The sequence below is a fragment of the Homo sapiens genome, chromosome 6 (assembly GCF_000001405.40).
Source record: "Homo sapiens chromosome 6, GRCh38.p14 Primary Assembly".
Taxonomy (NCBI): domain Eukaryota; kingdom Metazoa; phylum Chordata; class Mammalia; order Primates; family Hominidae; genus Homo; species Homo sapiens.
This window is the reverse complement of record NC_000006.12, coordinates 116322096-116342540: the sequence shown is the minus strand read 5'-3', so window position 1 is coordinate 116342540 and position 20445 is coordinate 116322096. Positions and strand designations below refer to the sequence as shown.

The following is a 20445-nucleotide window of genomic DNA, read 5'->3' as shown; positions in this document are numbered from 1 at the left end:
TTGGGAGGCTGAGGCGGGTAGATTACGAGGTCAGGAGTTTAAGACCAGCCTGGCCAACATGGTGAAACCCATCTCTACTAAACATACAAAAATTAGCCAGGTGTGGTGGCATGTGCCTGTAATCCCAGCTACTCAGGAGACTGAGGCAGGAGAATTACCTGAACCTGGGAGGCAGAGGCTTGCAGTGAGCCAAGACCGCGCCATTGCACTCTGGCTCTGGGCAAGAGAGCAAGACTCCATCTCGAAAAAAAAAAAAAAACAGCAACAATAATAGCCTTCATAAAGTTAAAAAAAATTAGAATCCAAACTTACTACAATATATTATCTAATATATCCACTTTCCAACAAAATAATTATAATATGTGCAAAAACCAAGATTACGTGACCCATATTCAGGAAAAAAAATAATTGAACAAAAATAGTCTCTGGTTGTCCCCAAATGCTAAACTTGTAGACAAAAAAATATTAAGCAGCTATTTTTAAAAGCAGCTATTTCACTCTATTTCATTCAAATAACTAAAATAAACCATGTTTTAAAAATTAACATATTGGAACCAAAAAAGAGCCCGCATTGCCAAGACAATCCTAAGCAAAAAGAACAAAGCTGGAGGTATCACACTATCTGACTTCAAACTATATTACAAGGCTACAGTAACCAAAACAGCATGGTACTGGTACCAAAACAGATATATAGACCAATGGTACAGGCAGAAGCCTCAGAAATAATAGCACACATCTACAACCATCTGATCTTTGACAAACCTGACAAAAATAAGAAATGGGGAAAGGATTCCCTGTTTCATAAATGGTTCTGGGAAAACTGGCTAGCCAAATGTAGAAAGCTGAAACTGGATGCCTTCCTTACACCTTATACAAAAATTAATTCAAGATGGATTAAAGACTTAAATGTTAGACCTGGAACCATAAAAACCCTAGAAGAAAACCTAGGCAATACCATTCAGGACACAGGCATGGGCAAGGACTTTATGACTAAAACACCAAAATGCAAATGGCAATGGCATTTTGCAACAAAAGCCAAAATTGACAAATGGGATCTAATTAAACTAAAGAGCTTCTGCACAGCAAAAGAAACTACCATCAGAGTGAACAGGCAACCTACAGAACGGGAGAAAATTTTTGCAATCTACCCATCTGACAAGGGCTAATATCCAGAATCTACAAAGAACTCAAACAAATTTACACGAAAAAAATTATCCCATCGAAAAGTGGGTGAAGGATATGAATAGACACTTCTCAAAAGAAGACATTTATGCAGCTGACACATTAAAAAATGGTCATCATCACTGGCCATCAGAGAAATGCAAATCAAATTCACAATGAGATACCATCTCATGTCAGTTAGAATGGCAATCATTAAAAAGTCAGGAAACAACAGATGCTGGAGAGGATGTGGAGAAACACGAACACTTTTACACTGTTGGGAGTGTAAATTAGTTCAACCATTGTGGAAGACAGTGTGGTGATTCCTCAAGGATCTAGAACTAGAAATACCATTTGACCAAGCAATCCCATTACTGGGTATATATGCAAAGGATTATAAATCATGCTACTATAAAGACACGTGCACACATATGTTTACTGCAGCACTATTCACAGTAGCAAAGCCTTGGAACCAACCCAAATGTCCATCATTGATAGACTGGATAAAGAAAATATGGCACATATACACCACGGAATACTATGCAGCCATAAAAAAGGATGAGTTCATGTCCTTTGTAGTGACATTGATGACGCTGGAAACCATCATTCTGAGCAAACTATCGCAAGGACAGAAAACCAAACACCACATGTTCTCACTCAAAGGTGGGAATTGAACAATGAGAACCCTTGGACACAGGGCGGGGAACATCACACACCAGGGCCTGTCAGGGGGTGGGGGCTGGGGGAGGGATAGCATTAGGAGAAATGCCTAATGTAAATGACAAGTTGATGGGTGCAGCAAACCAACATGACACATGTATACCTATGTATCAAACCTACACGTTGTGCTCATATACCCTAGAACTTAAAGTAGAATAATAATAATAAAAAAAATGACAGCAATGAATCAATAAACAGAAACTCTCAGGTGATAGAAATTAGAAAAAGGAACCAAATGCATATTCTGGATTTGAAAACTGAAGTGAAGAATTCACTAGAAGCCCTCAATAGCATATTCAAAATGGCAGAAGAAAGAATCAATGAACTTGACAGATGAGCAGAAATTATCCCAGCTGAAGAAAAGAGACCTGTGGGACATCAAGTATACCAATATACATATAATGAGAGCTCCAGAAGGAAACAAGAGAGAGAAGGAGACAGAAAAATATTTTTAAAAAGAATGACTGAAAACATACTAAATTTGACGAAAAACATTAATCTGCAGGTTCAAGAAGCTCAACAAACCACAAGCAGATAAACCTTCTGCCTGAAACTCTTCTCTCTGGCTCTCTGTGATTCTGTACTCTCATGAGTCCCCTCACACTACTTGACTGTTTCTTTACTTTGTTCCTTCCTCAATCCTTTTTCTCAGTGACTTTTAAAATCCCATGCAATTCATATCTTTGTATACTCCACACTCGCATATAGAAATTCCATCTATTTTCATAGTCCATCAGTAAAGAGACATTCAAAACTTATAATAGGGTTTCTATATTTCTATTGCCTGGTTAATAACCTCTTTGTGGATGTTTCACTAACATCCTAAATGCAGAATGGAGATTCTTCTTCTGTTCCATATTTCTATAATTTTATTAGCACCAGGAATGGGCAATAGACATCTCAAAACCTGTTACCTTTGACATTTCCTTCTTCCTCAACTATAAACTCAATTGCCAAGTCATACGAATTCCACTGACCATTGTCTCCCTCCTCTTCATTCCCACTGCTGCTTCACTAGTTCAGGCTTTCATTACTTGCTCACCCAGATTGATCCTACAGCAGTAACTGGATTTCATGACTCTGTTTTCTCCTCTTTTTAATTCATTCAAAACATAGTAGTCAGATTAATATTCCTAAAGCACAGCTCTGATCTTTTCACATTAAAACAACAACAAAAAGATATGATGGTTTTCCTTGGCTCATAAAATCTGAATTTCTTAGCAGAACATTGCTTTCCAAACTGTATTTACCAGTTCCCTTCATCAACCCCAAATTCCAATTGTGAAAAAAATTGGCTACTTTTTTCAATTCCACTGAAATAAACCATGAGATTAAAAAAAAAAAAGAAAGGAAGAAAAGTGGGGGGAATGTTATTACTTTTGGGTGGGTACATGTTCCCTGACAACTTGTAAATGTTCTAAGATTTAACATTATGTAAGTTTTTGGAAGCATAGAGTAGCCACATCAGCTATGGGAGATGAAAAGATCAGGACACATGGTCATGGAATATGATGAACAGACGGACAGGACTGGGGTGGAGGAGATCTCACCCTGCACTTTTTCAGCCAGTTACAGACAAGAAGACCAACTCATTTATCTGTTGAACAGGAGCATGTTACCAGTAAATGGATACAGATGAACAGAGCTTCTAGCACAGGGCGCATGAGACAAATAAGAGAAAGATTGGAGCAAACATTTCTGGGACACTGTTTGGCTATTTGGAGGCATAGAGGAACTTGTAGTTCCACATGGACCTGGGCAAAAATGTCTGGGCAAGCCCTCAGAGGTCCAGAGATTCTTGACAATGGAAAGCTGGAGAATTTTGATTAACTGTCATGAAGTTGCTTCGTTTTAATAAACATGCTGCTGACACCCTGTACAACACTTGACTGGAAAATGGAAAAAGCTTTCTATCACTTTACAACTTTGTAAATAGAATAAGCTGTGTGGATTTTGCACATTAGGTAACAAAAACTGCAGTTGCTGGTTGGGTGTGAGTCAAATTGCTTAGCTGAGCCTGCCACTCTCTCTGCGCCTAAGCCAAAGGTAATCTTTGGTTCTGTCTGTGAATTATAATGAACTCTAAATTCATGAGATCCACATTTAAAAAATTTCACTGTGAAAGGATGCATAGTAGGCTGGGCACAGTGGCTCACACCTGTAATCCCAGCACTTTGGGAGGCTGAGGCGGGTGGATCGCCTGATGTCAGGAGTTTGAGACCAGCCTAGGCAACATAGTGAAACCCCGTCTCTACTAAAAATACAAAAAATTATCTTGGCTTGGTGGCAGGCACCTGTATTCCCAGCTACTAGGGAGGCTGAGGCAGGATAATTGCTTGAACCCGGGAGGCAGAGGTTGCAGTGAGCCGAGATTGCACCACTGCACTCCAGCCTGGGCAACAAGAGCAAACCTCCGTCAAAAAAAAAAAAAAAAAAAAAAGAAAGAAGAAAGAAGGTAAGAAGAAAGAAAGAAAGAAAGAAAGAGAAAGAGACAGAAAGGAAGGCACAAAGAAAGGATGCAAAATGAAGGTTATTCGGAGTATCAAACATAGACATGAAGAATAACAAAGCTCCTGTTAGAGCAAAGAACTGATGAAGTTTATTCTCTGTGGTTGTTGTTCTTTCTCTTACCTGACAAAATCAAGGTAACTGCAAATTTCTTCTAGTTTCTGAAGTTATAGTCTTCATAATCATACCAAATTTCATAATGCCCCTCAAAACTGCTAAGGGTGTTACTGAATGCAGGAATAAAAAGTCTAAATAAATTAGAATAGAATGAACTTATAGTCAATGTCATCAGTGCCATTTTTTAAAAACAAAATTACACATTTTTGCTTACTAATAATGGTCATAAGAAGTATGTAAACTCATTTTACTGTAACATATCTGAACTCTGTCTTCATCAAAACATAATTTTTCTAAATCTTTTATTTGACCTCAAGACTCTTTGTAATCATCAGTAATATCAATGTTTTTCAATTTATCTGGATTAATGCCGCAATTAGAGTGTTTCTAGTTTTATTTTATTTATTCATTTATTTATTTTTTGAGATGGAGTCTTGCTCTGTCACCCAGGCTGGAGTGCAATGGTGTGATCTCGGCTCACTGCAAACTCTGCCTCCTGGATTAAAAAGCAACTCTCCTGCCACAGCCTTCTGAGTAGCTGGGATTACAGGCATCCACCACCACACCCGGCTAATTTTTGTAGTTTTAGTAGAGACGGTGTTTCACCATGTTGGTCAGGCTGGTCTCGAAATCCTGACCTCGTGATCCACCTGCCTCGGCCTCCCAAAGTGCTGGGATTATAGGCATGAGCCACCATGCCCAGCTATTTCTAATTTTAAATGACAAATAATGATACTGTAGTAAAAGTTAGCTAAAGCAAATCTCACACAAAGCAACTTTTCTTATATATATTTTCCTCATATATATGAGGTACTGTAGTATGGCAGTGAGGAGCCAGGGTTCTGGAGTCAGCTCTATATACGAGCTCTACCACTTATCAGCTATGTGATATTCAGCTAATATTCAATACTCTTTGTGCTTTGTGTTTCTTATGTGTAAAATAGGGATAATGATAGTAAAATGTACTTACAGCTCATGGGATTATTGCATTAAAAGAGATAAAATGTAAACACTGGCATTATTAATAAATCACTATGATTAACTATTCTCATTATAGTCATGCTGTTTTGTTGCTTTGAATCTATAGTCATGAAATGTAGCCTTACATATAGTGCTGACAATAAAATTATTATTTAATGATTCTTGAAAGCTGAATTTAGTAAGATTAATATTTTTTGCTACAAAGACTATGAACCTAGCCTAAAATACATAGTCAGATATTTTGAGCACAATATAATTGTACTAATAGAATTTGATGTTACCTTTTTTTTTTTTTTTTGAGATGGAGTTTTGCTCTTGTTGCCCAGGCTGGAGTGCAATGGCATGATCTCAGCTCATTGCAACCTCCGCCTCCCAGGTTCAAGCAATTCTCCTGCCTCAGCCTCCCGAGTAGCTGGGACTACAAGCATGCGCTACCATGCCTGGCTAATTTTGTATTTTCAGTAGAGACGGGTTTTCTGCATGTTGGTCAGGCTGGTCTTGAACTCCCAACCTTGGCTGATCCGCCTGCCTCGGCCTCCCAAAGTGCTGGGATTACAGGCGTGAGCCACTGCGCCCGGCCTACTTTTTTCTTTAAAACATGCAAGCAAATACATTAGACCATGTATCACTCAGGTAGGTGGCATTATAGTACTAATTTTTAAATAATACTGCCTTATCTTTAACACAACTCTTACAAATTATAACTGTTACATTCAGATGAGCAAGACTTTGGCTAAAATTAACTGTATCACATTATCTAGCATTCTGTAGGCTTGCAGACTAAATGCTAGATAACTATTTAGATTCTGTCTATGTCATCAAGAACTTTTTCAATAGGAGTGTATCTTCTGTTCATATACTGCAAGATATATATTTTAAATTCTTCTGTAAAACAGATTTACATTAAATGTAGTCAAAATAAAATTCTTCCTGGATTCCAAAGGAGTTGATATCTGACTACAAATGGACATCAGGGACATTCACATGCTGAACATAATTCTGAAAGAGATGTTTATGACTAAGTGCTGTTACAGTTTATGGGAATCCATTGTTTTGGACCAGCCTTCTGCACCAGACTCCCACAGACCAGACCAGACCAAAATAGTGTCACTCATGCAAAGTGCCTCATAATCAAACTGAACTTTAAGGAAGCTGATAGAGCCCCAAACAGAGCAGTTTTTCCTGAAAACAGGAGATTCACAGCAACTAGTCAAAGAGCTCAATCTTCCTAAGTCAGCATAATAAAGAGGTCTTCTCTGTTTTAACTCTTACAAGAAAAGTGACTTGTAGTAACTTATGCTATCAATGCACTTTTATTTATCGTTCTGTTGTCTTATTCCCACCTTACAAAAACCAACCATTCTATCATATCCAGTGGATCACTACTTCTGTTTCATAGAATGAAGTGTTGCCTGATTCTAGAATCACAAATAAAAGCCAATTAGATCTTCAAACTAAATTTGTTGTATTTTGTCTTTAACAGTACAATCAAACAAAGGAGAAGAAAATATCTTTTTTTAAAATTTAACTTTTAAGTTTAGGGGTACAAGTACAGTTTTGTTACATAGGTAAACATGTCATGGGGGTTTGTTGTACAGATTTTTTTGTCACCCAGGTATTAAGCCTAGTACTCATGAGTTATTTTTCCTAACACTCTCTCTCTTCCCACCCTCCACCCTTGCATAGACTCCAGTGTGTGTTGTTCCCCTCTTTGTGTCTATATGGTTTCATCATTTAGCTCCCACTTACAAGTGAGAACATGTGGTATTTAGCTTTCTCTTTCTGTGTTAGTTTGATAAGGATAATGGCCTCTAGCTCCATCCATGTCCCTGCAAAGGACATGATCTTGTCCCTTTTTATGGCTGCATAGTATTCCATGTTGTATATATACCACATTTTCTTTATCAAATCTATCACTGATGGGCATTTAGGTTGATTCCATGTCTTTGCTATTGTGAATAGTGCTGCAATGAACATACATGTGCATGTGTCTTTGTAACAGAGTGATTTACATTCCTTTGAGTATATATACAGTAATGAGGCCAATGGTATTTCTGTCTTTAGGTCTTTGAGGAATTGCCACACTGTCTTCCACAATGGTTGAACTAATTTACACTTCCACCAACAGTGGGAGGTTCCTTCTTTGCAACTTTGTCAGCATCTGTTATATTTTGACTTTTTAATAGCCATTCTGACTGGTGTGAGATGGTATTTCCTGTGGTTTTGATTTGCATTTCTGTAATGATCATTGATGTTGGGCTTTTTTTCATCATTGTTGGCTGCACTCATGTCTTTTGAAAAGTCTGTTCATATCCTTTGCCAACTTTTTAATGGTTTCTTTTTTCTTGTAAATTTGTTTAAGTTCCTCAAGATGGAGTAAAGACTTAAATGGAAAACTCAAAGCTATAAAAACTCTGGAAGATAACCTAGGCAATACCATTCTGGACGTAGGAATGGGCAAAGATTTCATGATGAAGATGCCAAAAGCAATTGCAATGAAGGCAAAAAAAATAAATAACAAATGGGATCTAGCAAGGAAACTATTAAGAGTGAGCAGACAACCTACAGAATGGGAGAAAATTTTCGAATACAGTATTTTTGGCAAAGAGAGCCTAATTCTCTGGATATAGTTTGTGAAATGTGGGCTTTGCGTGAATTAAGAGACCAACAGGGAGTAGAATTATTTGGGAATCACTTCAAATGGAAAAATAAGGTAGAATCCTTTATCTTTCAGAATATGATTTGACCTTAACTCTGCTAGAAGGTAGCAGAGTGATTTCAAGCTTTCTTTAAAAGGGTTGAAATGGGGACTTGCCTACTCTGAGTCAAAGCCTTGAGAATAAAATCTCATCTAGTCATTCAACAGACAATTGTGTGATATGCTGAAGATACAGAGACACAAAGATAAGAACTTGTCCTCAAGAATATTATAATCTAATGGTGGGAAACAAATGTGTAAATAGATTAGTACGACAATGTTCACTAAGTACAATACATTAAAATAAAGCATCTAGGAGAGAGATCAGTATAGCAAAGAGTCAAACTTCTTTCACATATTGCAATATTTTGGAGGGTTGTTTTTGAGAGGGGTTCTTGCTCTGTCACCCAGGCCGGAGTGGAGTGGTGCATTCATGGCTCACTGCAGCCTCGATCTCCTGGACTCAAGAATTGCAATATTTTGTAAACTGCATTGTCTTACCTCTGAGTAGGGAGCAAAAGGCATCAAGTAATGTAATTAAAGTGATATTTTTAAATTTAAAGAGAAATTTATAAATGTATAAGGAAAAACAGGATATATTTTTAAAGGATGCTTTTATAAACATGGTGAAAGAATATGTGGTTGAGAATGAGAAAGAGCTTGTTTAGATGGTGGCTCTTCCACTTAGTAGATTCATGGATTTATTAAAAATCTTTCTCTTTCTGAAGCCTCACTTTTCTCATCTGTAAAGTAGATATGTACATACCATAAAGATCAGTTGAGACATGCTATGGTTTGAAAATCCCCTCTAAAACTCATGTTGAAAATTAATTGCCAATGTAACGGTATTGGGAGATGGGGAGTTTACAAAGTGATTAAGTCATGGGGGCACTTTCTTCATGGATTGTCATTATCACAGAAGTGAGTTATCTCAGGAGTTTGGCCCTCTTTTTCTCTGTTTCATGCTCTCACTCTCTCTCACATTGTCTCACTATGTGATGCCTTCCATCATGTTATGATACAACAAGAATGCCCTCACCAAATATGGTCCCTCAACCTTGGACTTCCCAGCCTCCAGAACCATGAGCCAAATAAATCTCTTTTCTTTATAAATCACCAAGTCTATGGTACTCTGTTATGCAGCAGAAAATGGACTAAGACAAGACAAAAAATAGGTCAGTGCTTTCCACTGGGATGCATGAATTTATGTGAATATATGTAAATTCTATTCCGTTTTCATTGAAAATTTTATCCTGAGGAAGTACATTTACCAATTTTCACATTAGCAGTGAATAAGAATTCCTAGTGCTCTATATTTTCTCCCACAGTTGAGATTATCAGGATTCTTAAGTTTAGCTATTCTAAAGGAAGTCTGATGGTATATAACTGTGGTTTTAATTTGCATTTTCCTGATTACTAAAGAAATCAAAGACCTTTTCTTATACTTGCTGGCAATTGGGGTATCTATTTTTGTGAAATGCCTGAAGTCTTTTTGTCCATTTTTCATTGGATTTTTTTATATATTGATTTACTTTGTAGATGTACTTTATACCAGGCACAAGACTTGCATATGTAATATATTTTACCATGTAGCTTGACTTTTTACCAATTAAAGGTGTCTTTTCATAAACTGAGGCTCTTAATTTTAACTCTAAGTATCAGTCTTTTCCTTTACTGTAAGTACTTTTTTGTGTGTGTCCTGCTTAATATATAAACACTTAATTTATTTCAAATGTGTCTTTTTTCTAAACTCCAATTTGTTCCACTGATTTTTGTCTATTCTTACCCCAATACTGTACTATCCTAATTATCACAGACATAAGTATTAATATCCAGTAGAGCAACTCCTCTTACCTTTTCCCTCCTATTCAAGAGTGTCTTGTCTATACCTGTTTCTCTTAATTTTTTTTTCATATTTTAAAGAATTGAGTTTCAAACTCCTTTTCTCCCTGTGTCTCTCTTACACACACACACACACACAAACCAACTGGGATTTTGATTTGAATTTCTTTGGATCTAAAGCTCAGTTTCAGGAAAATTAACATTTTAAAAATGCTGAGTCTTCCAATATATAAATGTAGTACAAGTATTCATTGATTTGTCTTTTTTAATGTCTCTTGGGAATGTTTTATGTTTCTTTTACAACTGCTAAAATATTTATTTTTAGGTTTTAAATATTTTTGATCCTATTATGATTATTTTCAGTTTTATTTTCTGTTGTTGCTCATCATAGAAATGAAATTTTTAAAATCTACAAGTCGAGATTAGAATTGAGTTTAACAAGGTTGCTGGGATACAATTTTATTAAACTCAATTCTAAGAACTATCTGTAGAGTCTTTGAGTTTTTTTATATATATAGTCTTAGCAAATAATGGCAGTTTTACTTGTTCTTTTTCTTTTAGATGGAGTCTCACTCTGTTGCCAGGCTGGAGTGCAGTGATACCATCTTGGCCCACTGCAACCTCCGCCTCTCGGGTTCAAACAATTCTACTGCCTCAGCCTCCCAAGTAGGTGGGACTACAGGTGCGTGCCACCATGCCCAGCTAATTTTTGTATTTTTAGTAGAGACAGGGTTTCACCATGTTGGCCATGATGGTCTCGATTCCCTGACTTCGTGATCTGCTTGCCTCTGCCTCCCAAAGTGCTGGGACTACAGGCGTGAGCCACTGTGCCCGGCCTACTTGTTCTTTTCAATTCTTCTTCCTTACCACACTAATTAGGACTTTCAGTGGCAGGTAGCCTAGAAATGTTGGTAACTATTGATATGGTTTGGCTCTGTCCCCGCCCAGAACCTCATCTTGAATTGTAATCCGAATTGTAATCCCCATATATTGGGGGGTTACCTCGTGGGAGGTGATTAGATCATAGGGGCATTTCCCCCATGCTGTTCTCATGATAGTGAGTGACTTCTCATGAGATCTGATGGTTTTATAAGGGGCTTTTCCCCACTTCGCAGTGCACTTCTCCTTGCTGTCACCATGTGAAGAAGGATGTGTTTGCTTTCTCTTCCACCATGATTGTAAGTTTCATGAGGCCTCCCCAGCCCTGCAGAACTGTGAGTCAATTAAATCTCTTTCCTTTATAAATTACCCAGTCTTGGGTATTTCATCATAGCAGCAAGAGAATGAACTAATACAACTATTATCTTATTCCTGATCACAGAAAGAAAGTTTTCAGTATTTCTATGGTGTTTATTATTGGTGTTTTGTAGATACCCTGTATTTGATTAAAGAAGCTCTCTTCTATTCTTCGTTTGCCCAAAGATGTATTTTAATCATAAATAGATGCTTACTTTAACCAACTGCTTTTCTGCATCTAGTACAATTATCATATAATTTTTTCCTTTATTCTGTTAATGTCATAAATTCTCAGTTTTCTAATATTAAACTAACATTGCATAATTGCAACAAACTCAACTTGTGACATTTCATATATACATGTTGTATGGTTATCTAATATTAAGAATTTAAGCATATCTGTTCATGATTGAGGTTGCCTGCAATTTTTCCTCATCATTTAATGTTCATGTTCTTATATCAAAGTTGTGTTGACTTTATAAGCTAGGTTGGAGAACATCTTTGTTTTTCTGTTTTCTGAAAAGGCATAAAATCAGGGTATTTGCTAGACTGGAAGGTTTAAAATGAGTGATTCAGCTTTTTTGAGTCATAAGGAGATAGTCATAATTTCTATTTCATCATGTTGAGATTTATGCAGTTGTATTTTTTGTATTTTTCTTATCCTACTAAGCTTATAATAAAATAATCAAAACATCAAATATATTAACTAGAAATAGTTATTACCAAAATCGGTGGTAGTTGAGAGTTGTATTTAAGGGTAGCTCTTTCTATTTCTTGATTATTAAGAGTTCCCTTATTAAAATAAATTGCTTTTTGGCATAATTGTCAAAAACATATGTAATACCAAAAAGATTAAAAATGCATTTTGTTTTGAGTTAAAATGAATAGACGCATGCAGTGGCATAGCTAGGTACTTGATGCCTGAAAGGGACCATTTTTAATACGCCTTCCTCTGTATGATAAAAGTATTTTCAGTAATAATTTTGAAATGAAACAAATAATAATTATGTCCAGAAAAGAAATGCAGGCAGTGAAAGTTTTCATTTATTCAATTTTGACTATGTAATCATGCTAATAATAAATTAATAAAGTATATATTTTAGCTGAAAATGCAAAAAGTTAAGGTTTAATACTTTTTAAGTACATTAGTATGGGCCAGGCGCAGTGGCTCACGCCTGTAATCCCAGCACTTTGGGAGGCCGAGGCAGGTGGATCACCTGAGGTTGGGAGTTCAAGGCCAGCCTGGCCAATATGATGAAACCCCATCTCTACTAAAAATACAAAAAATCAGCTGGGCGTGATGGTAGGCGCCTGTAATCCCAGCTACCCGGGAGGCTGAGGCAGGACAATCACTTGAATCCGGAAGGCGGAGGTTGCATTGAGCTGAGATCGCGTCATTGCACTCCAGCCTGGGGACAGAGCAAGACTCCATCTCAAAGAAAAGAAAAGAAAAATATTTATACCTATATACTGGTTTGCCTCAGTGAAGAATAATCACTTTATGTTTTCTGACTTTGAGCATTAATTTTTGCAAATTTGTCAATGCTTTGTCAAATTAATCTTTATATAGTCATGGTCAGTAAAATCAGTGCGGTCAGATGTGTTGACATCACTCATAGTTGATTGAAGAACATTTTTTATTTTAATTTCAAAAAGTTTCACGTGAAATAACAGATATGGAAATAGTGATGAAATCTTTAAAATAAGAATACATTCATCAGATTCATACAAATCCCATTTCACAATAAATTCCAGAAATTATAGTACTACCCATATCCTTTTTTCTTTGGGATCAGTTCCAGCAGTTTTCAAATATTTCTGCTGTTGAAAAATTTCCACTAAAATAACTTCACCAGAAAATTCATCATAAATTTCTATCATATTTGGTAAAATTCTCCAAAGCTTGTAATGATTGTGAATTATTTGAGCTTGCTTCAGGCTCAGGTCACATCTCCAGTCCCTGTGGTACTATGTAAGCCTGTATTTAAACACAGACTAAAAATAAACAATTACAGCAGAGTGATTATAAAAATGAAACAGAACTTGACTGCTTATTCTTGAAATAAACAAGTATAGCTGAGTCCATGTGCATTTGAGAGTTAGAATTACTTCCACATAGAATGCAATGTTTATTAAATAATAAGTAATAATAAAAACGTAATATTCAGCTTACATTTGTTTTGTTAAATTTCAGCAACTGCAGCAGTTGTTTAGAACTTAGACCAACAAAAGTTTTTTTATTTTTCAAAGAGGAGTAGTATTGTTGATATTGCTTGGAACTGCCAGGCATAGTAAGCGGAACTGCCAGGCGTAGTAAGCAGAACTGGCTTTTATTATTATTTTATTTTTATTTCTTTTCAATTTTCTACACACAAAGCAGCCCTTATTGCCTGTACTAGGGGTGAACTACTCTCCTTATCCCATCCTTGGTATCCCATACCACTGACTGGATGAGAAAAATAGTGAAGCAAGCTGAAAGGGAACACTCACTTCCTTTTAAACAGCAGGCCAGATAGTCTTCTGGAATTAAGAGATTCCAAGTAATTATAAGAAGAATAAAGTGGTTTGTTGATTTATTTCTGGAAACTTTCACAAAAATAGATATTACATTCCTTCTTGCTCCTTTACTGGGCTTGCTTGAATCATTACAATGTGCGTCATTTTTTATTATCTGCTGATACTGGCAGTGGAGTACTAGAACTTACTTTGATGTAATGGAATGGATATACCAAGATTTTAAATTTTGGTCAGTCTTACAGACCTCTGCAGTGCCATTTGAGGTATTTCCTGGCTGTATCTGAAACTCTTCGCACCCCATCTCAAACTGAAGGGAGGCAAAATTGTTCTGCTCAATATGTGCACAGTCTCCTCGGTCCAGAAAGGAAACGTATGAGAAATTTGATTAAAATCTAAGTGACTCATAATGTGAATCTCAAAAGAGTGTAACAAATGTTAATTAGTTTTAAATTCCAACACCCTAAGAACTTATTGTATACATTGTAGTAAGTGAAATAACTGGAAAAAACAGCATTGAATCCTTTCACAATCAGACTCTCCCCTAACCAAAATGACTGTACCTTGTATGTTTTCTATGTTTCATTGACAAATTTGGTTGAAGGAACTAAACTACGTCTTTCTTAATAATCACAAAATAAACAGAAGAAATGCCCATTTGGTGCTTCCTGTTTGGTTCTGTTGATGGGCTAATGTTCCCTCCTGCTGTAGCAGTTGAGTATGTTTATATTCTTGACCCCTCTGCAGGGAAGCAGAAAAGAATCTGAACTCCGATGACTTGCTGTGCTTTTGGCTTTGATGTGCTCCTCTGGCCTCTGTGGCGGAAGCTCCATGTTAAGTAACAGACCTGAATTTACACTAAAAGTAGTGAAAATACCACAACAGCTAAAAGAAAGACTTTTAGCTGTTGTGTCTCTAAATTTACTTGTGTAAGAACACAGTTTTTGTAGTAACACACATAATGGTTTCAACTGCCCTCAAAATTAGGCAGGTAAAATATATCATAGAACATTTTCTAGAAAATATGTAGAATGGCCAATGAGGCAGAAAGCATAAACAAATAATGGGCTCACCGGAAACAAACAGAAATATTTACCAAGAGCAGTTTGGATTCAAGTATTATGGATAATACTTTAAAGTTTTGACCTCCAAATATCCTGTAATACCAGTGACTTCTATGTAACCCCTGGACTCCAGCTGTGGTTCTTTCAGCATATCATTTGCCCAAGATCTTGACAAGAAAATCCATCCTCCTCCAATTCCACCTTTTCTGAAACCCCAACATCATAGGTGGTGGAAAGGCAGTTGAGGGTTAAAGTTATGATTATCCAGGTCACATGTAGGAGCTCAGAAGTTTTTCCTAACGCTGTCCCTTAAACTCTCCACTTCCTTTACTTACTGTTCACCTTATGATGGAAGAGATGGAGAAATCAGTGAGATTTTATTTTAATTTTCTGCTAGGAAATAATCTCGTAAAGTCTTTGGCTCACTTCTTTTCTGTACCTCAAGGGTCAATAGTTTAGTCTCTCTGATGTGCTGTGTAACTAAGTAACTGAATAAAACAGAGTTTGTTCTGGAGCAGAATGGAGCTCTATAAGCTGGAGATTCCAATCCTCGACTTTTTCCTGTTTTTTCTCTCTTTACTGTATGCACTGTTAAGTATCTTTGGACCCCTTAATTTCCCTCTAGGAGAAAGCCATCCATTTCCGCTCGAGTTAGAAGGCTTCTACAGAAGGCCTGAATATTTGAAGATCATACAAATGACCCCAACAACAGCCTAATGGGTGAAGGTTAATAAATGTGAAGCAACATGAAAATCTAACTGCCTGCCTAATCATTTTGAAGAGTCTACTTACAGTTATATTTTTAACTTAGGCATTCCCTCTTTATAGATTGTTCTACTAGAATGAAGTAAGAAAAATATTTTACATTCTCATCTCTCTAGTAATTTTTCTGCTTCATTTTGCCCTTACATACTATTTCACCTATTTAGAGATTTTGATACATTTTGCTGTTCTTTCCATTAAGTCTTCACCTAAATTCATGCTTTGTACCTCAGCAGTTAAGTTTCAGGGAGTGCCTAATATCCTTACATTTGACAGATGAAGAGAGAACCTAACAGTTTTCTCGGCCAAGCAAGAGAGACACAGTGTAGGACTGTAGTGAGTCAGGATTTGGCTGCCTCAGTATCCATTCAGAAGACGCCGGTGGTGCCGCAGCATGGGATAAATGCACAAAACAGTGAAAAGAGACAAATGGTCCAACAGCATTATGTTGGCATCATTTAAATCTTATCAGCAAGATACCCTAAGGAGGTGAACTGGCACAAATATCACAGTAACTGCCAAAAAATTTCATCACTCTTGGCATAAGCAGCTCCTAAGATATTTGAAAGTTTTTTGGTGGGGGGTGGGGGAGTTAAAGAAAAAGCTGAAAAGAACCCTTGCCTCAGATTTTCCTTTCGTCTCTAGAGGCTATGACTCCTTAGGACTCCCGCCGTCCTCCCCTCTGAGCTCCTCTAGGATGAGGCCTGTCTTCTGGTTACTATAATTAAGGGAGGAGACCACCCCTCATATTGTCTTATGCCCAATTTCTGCCTCCAAAGAAAGAAAAAGATAAAACTAAAAGGCAGAAATGAAATCCACAAGCAGACAGCCCGGCGCCACACCCTGGGCCTGGTAGTTAAAGATCGACCCCTGACCTAATCGGTTATGTTATCTATAGATTACAGACATTGTATAGAAAAGCACTGTGAAAATCCCTGTCCTGTTTTGTTCCAATCTAATTACTGGTGCGTGCAGCCCCAGTCACATACCCCCTGCTTGCTCACTCGATCACGATCCTCTCATGTGCATCCCCTTAGAGTTGTGAGCCCTTAAAAGGGAGGAGAATTGCTCACTCAGGGAGCTCGGCTCTTGAGACAGGAGTCTTGCCGATGCCCCCGGCTGAACAAACCCCTTCCTTCTTTAACTTGGTGTCTGAGGAGTTTTGTCTGTGGCTCGTCCTGCTACATAGTGATAGGCCAGGAAAATATCTGAATGCTTGCTATAAGTCAGATAGCAAACTATACATGGGTTATGTATTTGAGAAGGTAGAAGTGGTCCTTACATGGAGGGCAGAAGACAATTCCACAGCATGCATTAGTATGGCAAACAGACGTTGTATAAACATCTTAACTTGGCAGGAGAACACCTACCTACTACTCCAGTTGCAACACAGGACATTAGGTTTTATTAAAAAAATGATGAAAGTTGCAAGAAATCTGGGGATGAAGGCAAGATAGAAGATAAAAACAAATCATTTTGTACAATTCCTCTAATCCAAAAGGGAAGGAGCTCATATGTTTCTGATGATACCTACCTCAAGAACTAAAGAGCTGATGGAACTTTGGAGATTATGTATCATGCAGTACTCATCCTGGAGTGCACATCACAACTTGTGGTGGACATTTTTCAAAAATCATGCATGGTTTCACCCCAGACATGGGGAAGAAACATCTGAAAGTGAGGTCTTGGGACTTAGAAAATTTAGGCAACCATGAGTCTCACTCGCCAGGGTTTTTCTTTTGCAGAAAATCCACCTTTTCCCAGTGACTTGTGGGTTTGGAGGCTTTGGTGTCTGAAGGACTCCTATGATGCCACCAGACATGATTCGGGGTTAGCAGCCACCTGGTTCCAGCCTTTCCAAGGAGGATTGTTTCCACCCTGGGTGAACCAGTTAAACTCTGCTGCTTCCCAAAACACACCTAACCCCAGAGTGGGTGGTATGTGTCCCTAGCTAATCTCCAACTGTTATGCAAAGGAGTCATTAGCACTCCTTATCAGTGCCTCATAGTACAAATATAAAATGGGATAAACTCAGAGAAAACTTAAAAGCACAGACATAGGAGAGTGCACACAGGCAGAAATGGACTGCATGCATCCCCAAAAGGGTGAAACTCTCCCCCTATAATATTCTACTCATTATAAGGAACAGAGAAGTGCAGTGAACATCAATGCAATGGAAAGAAGTAGTTGAAATGGAAGCCTGTTCTTTCCTTAAGCTAACTCAGGCTCCTCGAGCTACCAATGAGAGGGGATAATGAACTTCCGGGTCACCTGGGTTGTTCTACCATTGCTGTTTAACAAAGCCAGCTCTCTTTGTATTTTACATATACCCCTGCACACAACCCTCAGAATCTCATGTAGGTTCCAAAGCTACGTACGCTGCAACTATCCTATTCTAAAGCAATTGTGCTTTCCCTGTCCTTTGTGTTGATGAAGATCTAAAACTCATGGAGTCAATTCAAACAGCTACAAGGGGGTGGAGTTGGGATTTCACCTGTGACTATTTGACTTCCAAACTCATATTCTTGTCAATAATCTAAACTGCTGCCTTCCAGCAGGTTACTTGTCCTAAGCTATTAAAGCAAACTGGGAAAAATAGTCAAAATACCTTTGCTTTCCTGGATCTTGCCTGCTGTTGTATATATCTTGGAGTTAGGCCAAAAACTGAGGAAAATCTGCCCACCTGCCAATGGCAAGCTGATGAAGTAAGATATAAGTGAAGTCTAATAAAATGATGGTGAAATTAGCAGGAAAGCCTACTAGCAGACATAGCTTTGGGACTTGTGTTTCCCACATGTTAATACGAAGAAAGCCCCTTTGGAGCCTGGGGTGAGGGGTAAGAGGGGGACCTATTAACTGCTGAATTCAGATCTCACAGGTGGGCACTTCCTTTTCTCTTTTGTCCTCTTACCTTGCCTCTGAGGGTTGTTAATGAGTTGTGGTTTGACTATGTGGGGCAGGTTTGACTAGGGGGCCCAGAAAAAAAGAGAAGAGTTGGATAAATCAGCCATTAAAAATATATCCTGGCTGAAGAAGGATGGTAGAAGTGGAGGGAAGATAATGGAAGAGGGAATGAGAAGAAAGGTATCAGGAAAGATGCACATGATCAGGCTAATGACCTGTTTTCCCCTTATAGAAACCATATACAAAATTAACTATAACTTATTGCCAACTTAATTTTTTCTCTTGGTGTATATTTTATACCTGAAATGCTATTAAACATATTTCTTACTTTTCTGTTAGATTTAAATTTTCAAAACTTTCTTCAGAATATTTAAAAATCTTTGTGTTGTTCATTACAAATCAAATGACATGAAATTCCATTACCCTTAGAACTAAAATGAGTAAAATAGATCATAATAATATAAAGGTTTTTCCTGGACACACTTTTCGATAAGAACATTTAAAAGCACATTTGTAGACAAAGCACACTATAGCACCTGGCTGCTAAACGAATGTCCAAGAAGTAATTATTATCTGCCTTGCTGCCACTGAAAAGTTTTTTATTTTTCTGGCAAGTCAAATGTGAATCTCACTACTCAATAAAAAAATAGAAATCCAAATTAATTATTAGCTTAACAGTAGAAGAATCTAATAAGATTGAGTACAGTCGTGAAGAAACACAGTGAAAGATGTTCAGCTCTTATATTTCTCAGTATAGGATTTCTTACAAGGTAAATGACATGACATTGCTACAACTGAAAAAAATACATATTTTAAAGAAATCTGTTTAAAAGCTGGCTTACAACTGATGTGTAATTTTCACTTTACAAGGGAACTGGGAGAGAAATGTTTCCACTGACATCTTAAAGAATAACATTAACAAAACCAGACTTCAATTGTTGCAAATCTGGGATTCCATAATCACAGACCAGTAAAGCGCAAAATACTGTGAACCACTATCAGCTCTCTTTTCTGGAAGACCCTTATGCTCCCTGCATGGATAAATTATTTTCTGCAGGTGGTTAGGGGAGGACTTCCCACAGCCAGGAAGCAAAAAAATGCTCTCTACACTAACACTCCAACTTGCTCTACATGGAGTGCAGTGTCAAATCTGGGAAGTTACTCTTCTGAAACATTATTCTGCAGTCTCTTCTACCCTGCCACTTCTCTCTCTTCTCTCCATATTTAAACAGAAAATCTTGGTTGAGAGTCATTTACACATGCACATGGGCTGATTACATTTCAACAAATTGAAATCTCAGCTTCAATCACAGGTTTGCATTTAAATCTTATCACTGGTTGAGGAATGAAATACTTTTTCTTTATTTACTTTAAGCATCAACGAAATGATATATTTTAGGAAGAAGGCAATCAGAAACCTAAAAAATCACTCCAGGTTTATTCAACAGGTCCCAAAGGTAAATCTTATTTAATTGGGGTGGGGGGGCAGAAGTAATTTTGGGGATGGTGGGGAAGGAAAGGTTTGTCTAAAGACTCAGTGGCAGAGGCTCTGCTCCCTCTGGGAGGCTGGCTGAGGCCTACAGACCTTTGGGAACATCCAGGTCTTCATCTCTTTTATTTAACATCATATTCCACTTATTCTATTAAGGGAGGAGACCACCCCTCATATTGTCTTATGCCCAATTTCTGCCTCCAAAGAAAGAAAAAGTAAAAACTAAAAGGCAGAAATGAAATCCACAAGCAGACAGCCCGGCGCCACACCCTGGGCCTGGTAGTTAAAGATCGACCCCGACCTAATCGGTTATGTTATCTATAGATTACAGACATTGTATAGAAATGCACTGTGAAAATCCCTATCCTGTTTTGTTCTGATCTAATTACCAGTACATGTAGCTCCCAGTCACGTACCCCCTGCTTGCTCAATCAATCACGTCCCTC

At 37.6% G+C, this 20445-nt stretch overlaps 1 protein-coding gene across 11 annotated transcripts in view, besides 2 other annotated features; it reads right to left on the bottom strand.

Annotated features, from left to right (window-relative positions):
• Window positions 1-20445, bottom strand: part of DSE (dermatan sulfate epimerase) — a 190691-nt gene that overhangs the window by 102321 nt on the left and 67925 nt on the right. The window lies entirely within an intron of this gene.
• Window positions 16678-17179: an enhancer, noted in NCBI's record as "H3K4me1 hESC enhancer chr6:116646525-116647026 (GRCh37/hg19 assembly coordinates)". NCBI's record gives its function as "activates a minimal SCP1, AML or CMV promoter by ChIP-STARR-seq in primed H9 embryonic stem cells {active_cell/tissue: H9 hESC(primed)}" and the evidence as "EXISTENCE:reporter gene assay evidence [ECO:0000049][PMID:30033119]".
• Window positions 18202-18769: an enhancer, noted in NCBI's record as "OCT4-NANOG hESC enhancer chr6:116644935-116645502 (GRCh37/hg19 assembly coordinates)". NCBI's record gives its function as "activates a minimal SCP1, AML or CMV promoter by ChIP-STARR-seq in primed H9 embryonic stem cells {active_cell/tissue: H9 hESC(primed)}" and the evidence as "EXISTENCE:reporter gene assay evidence [ECO:0000049][PMID:30033119]".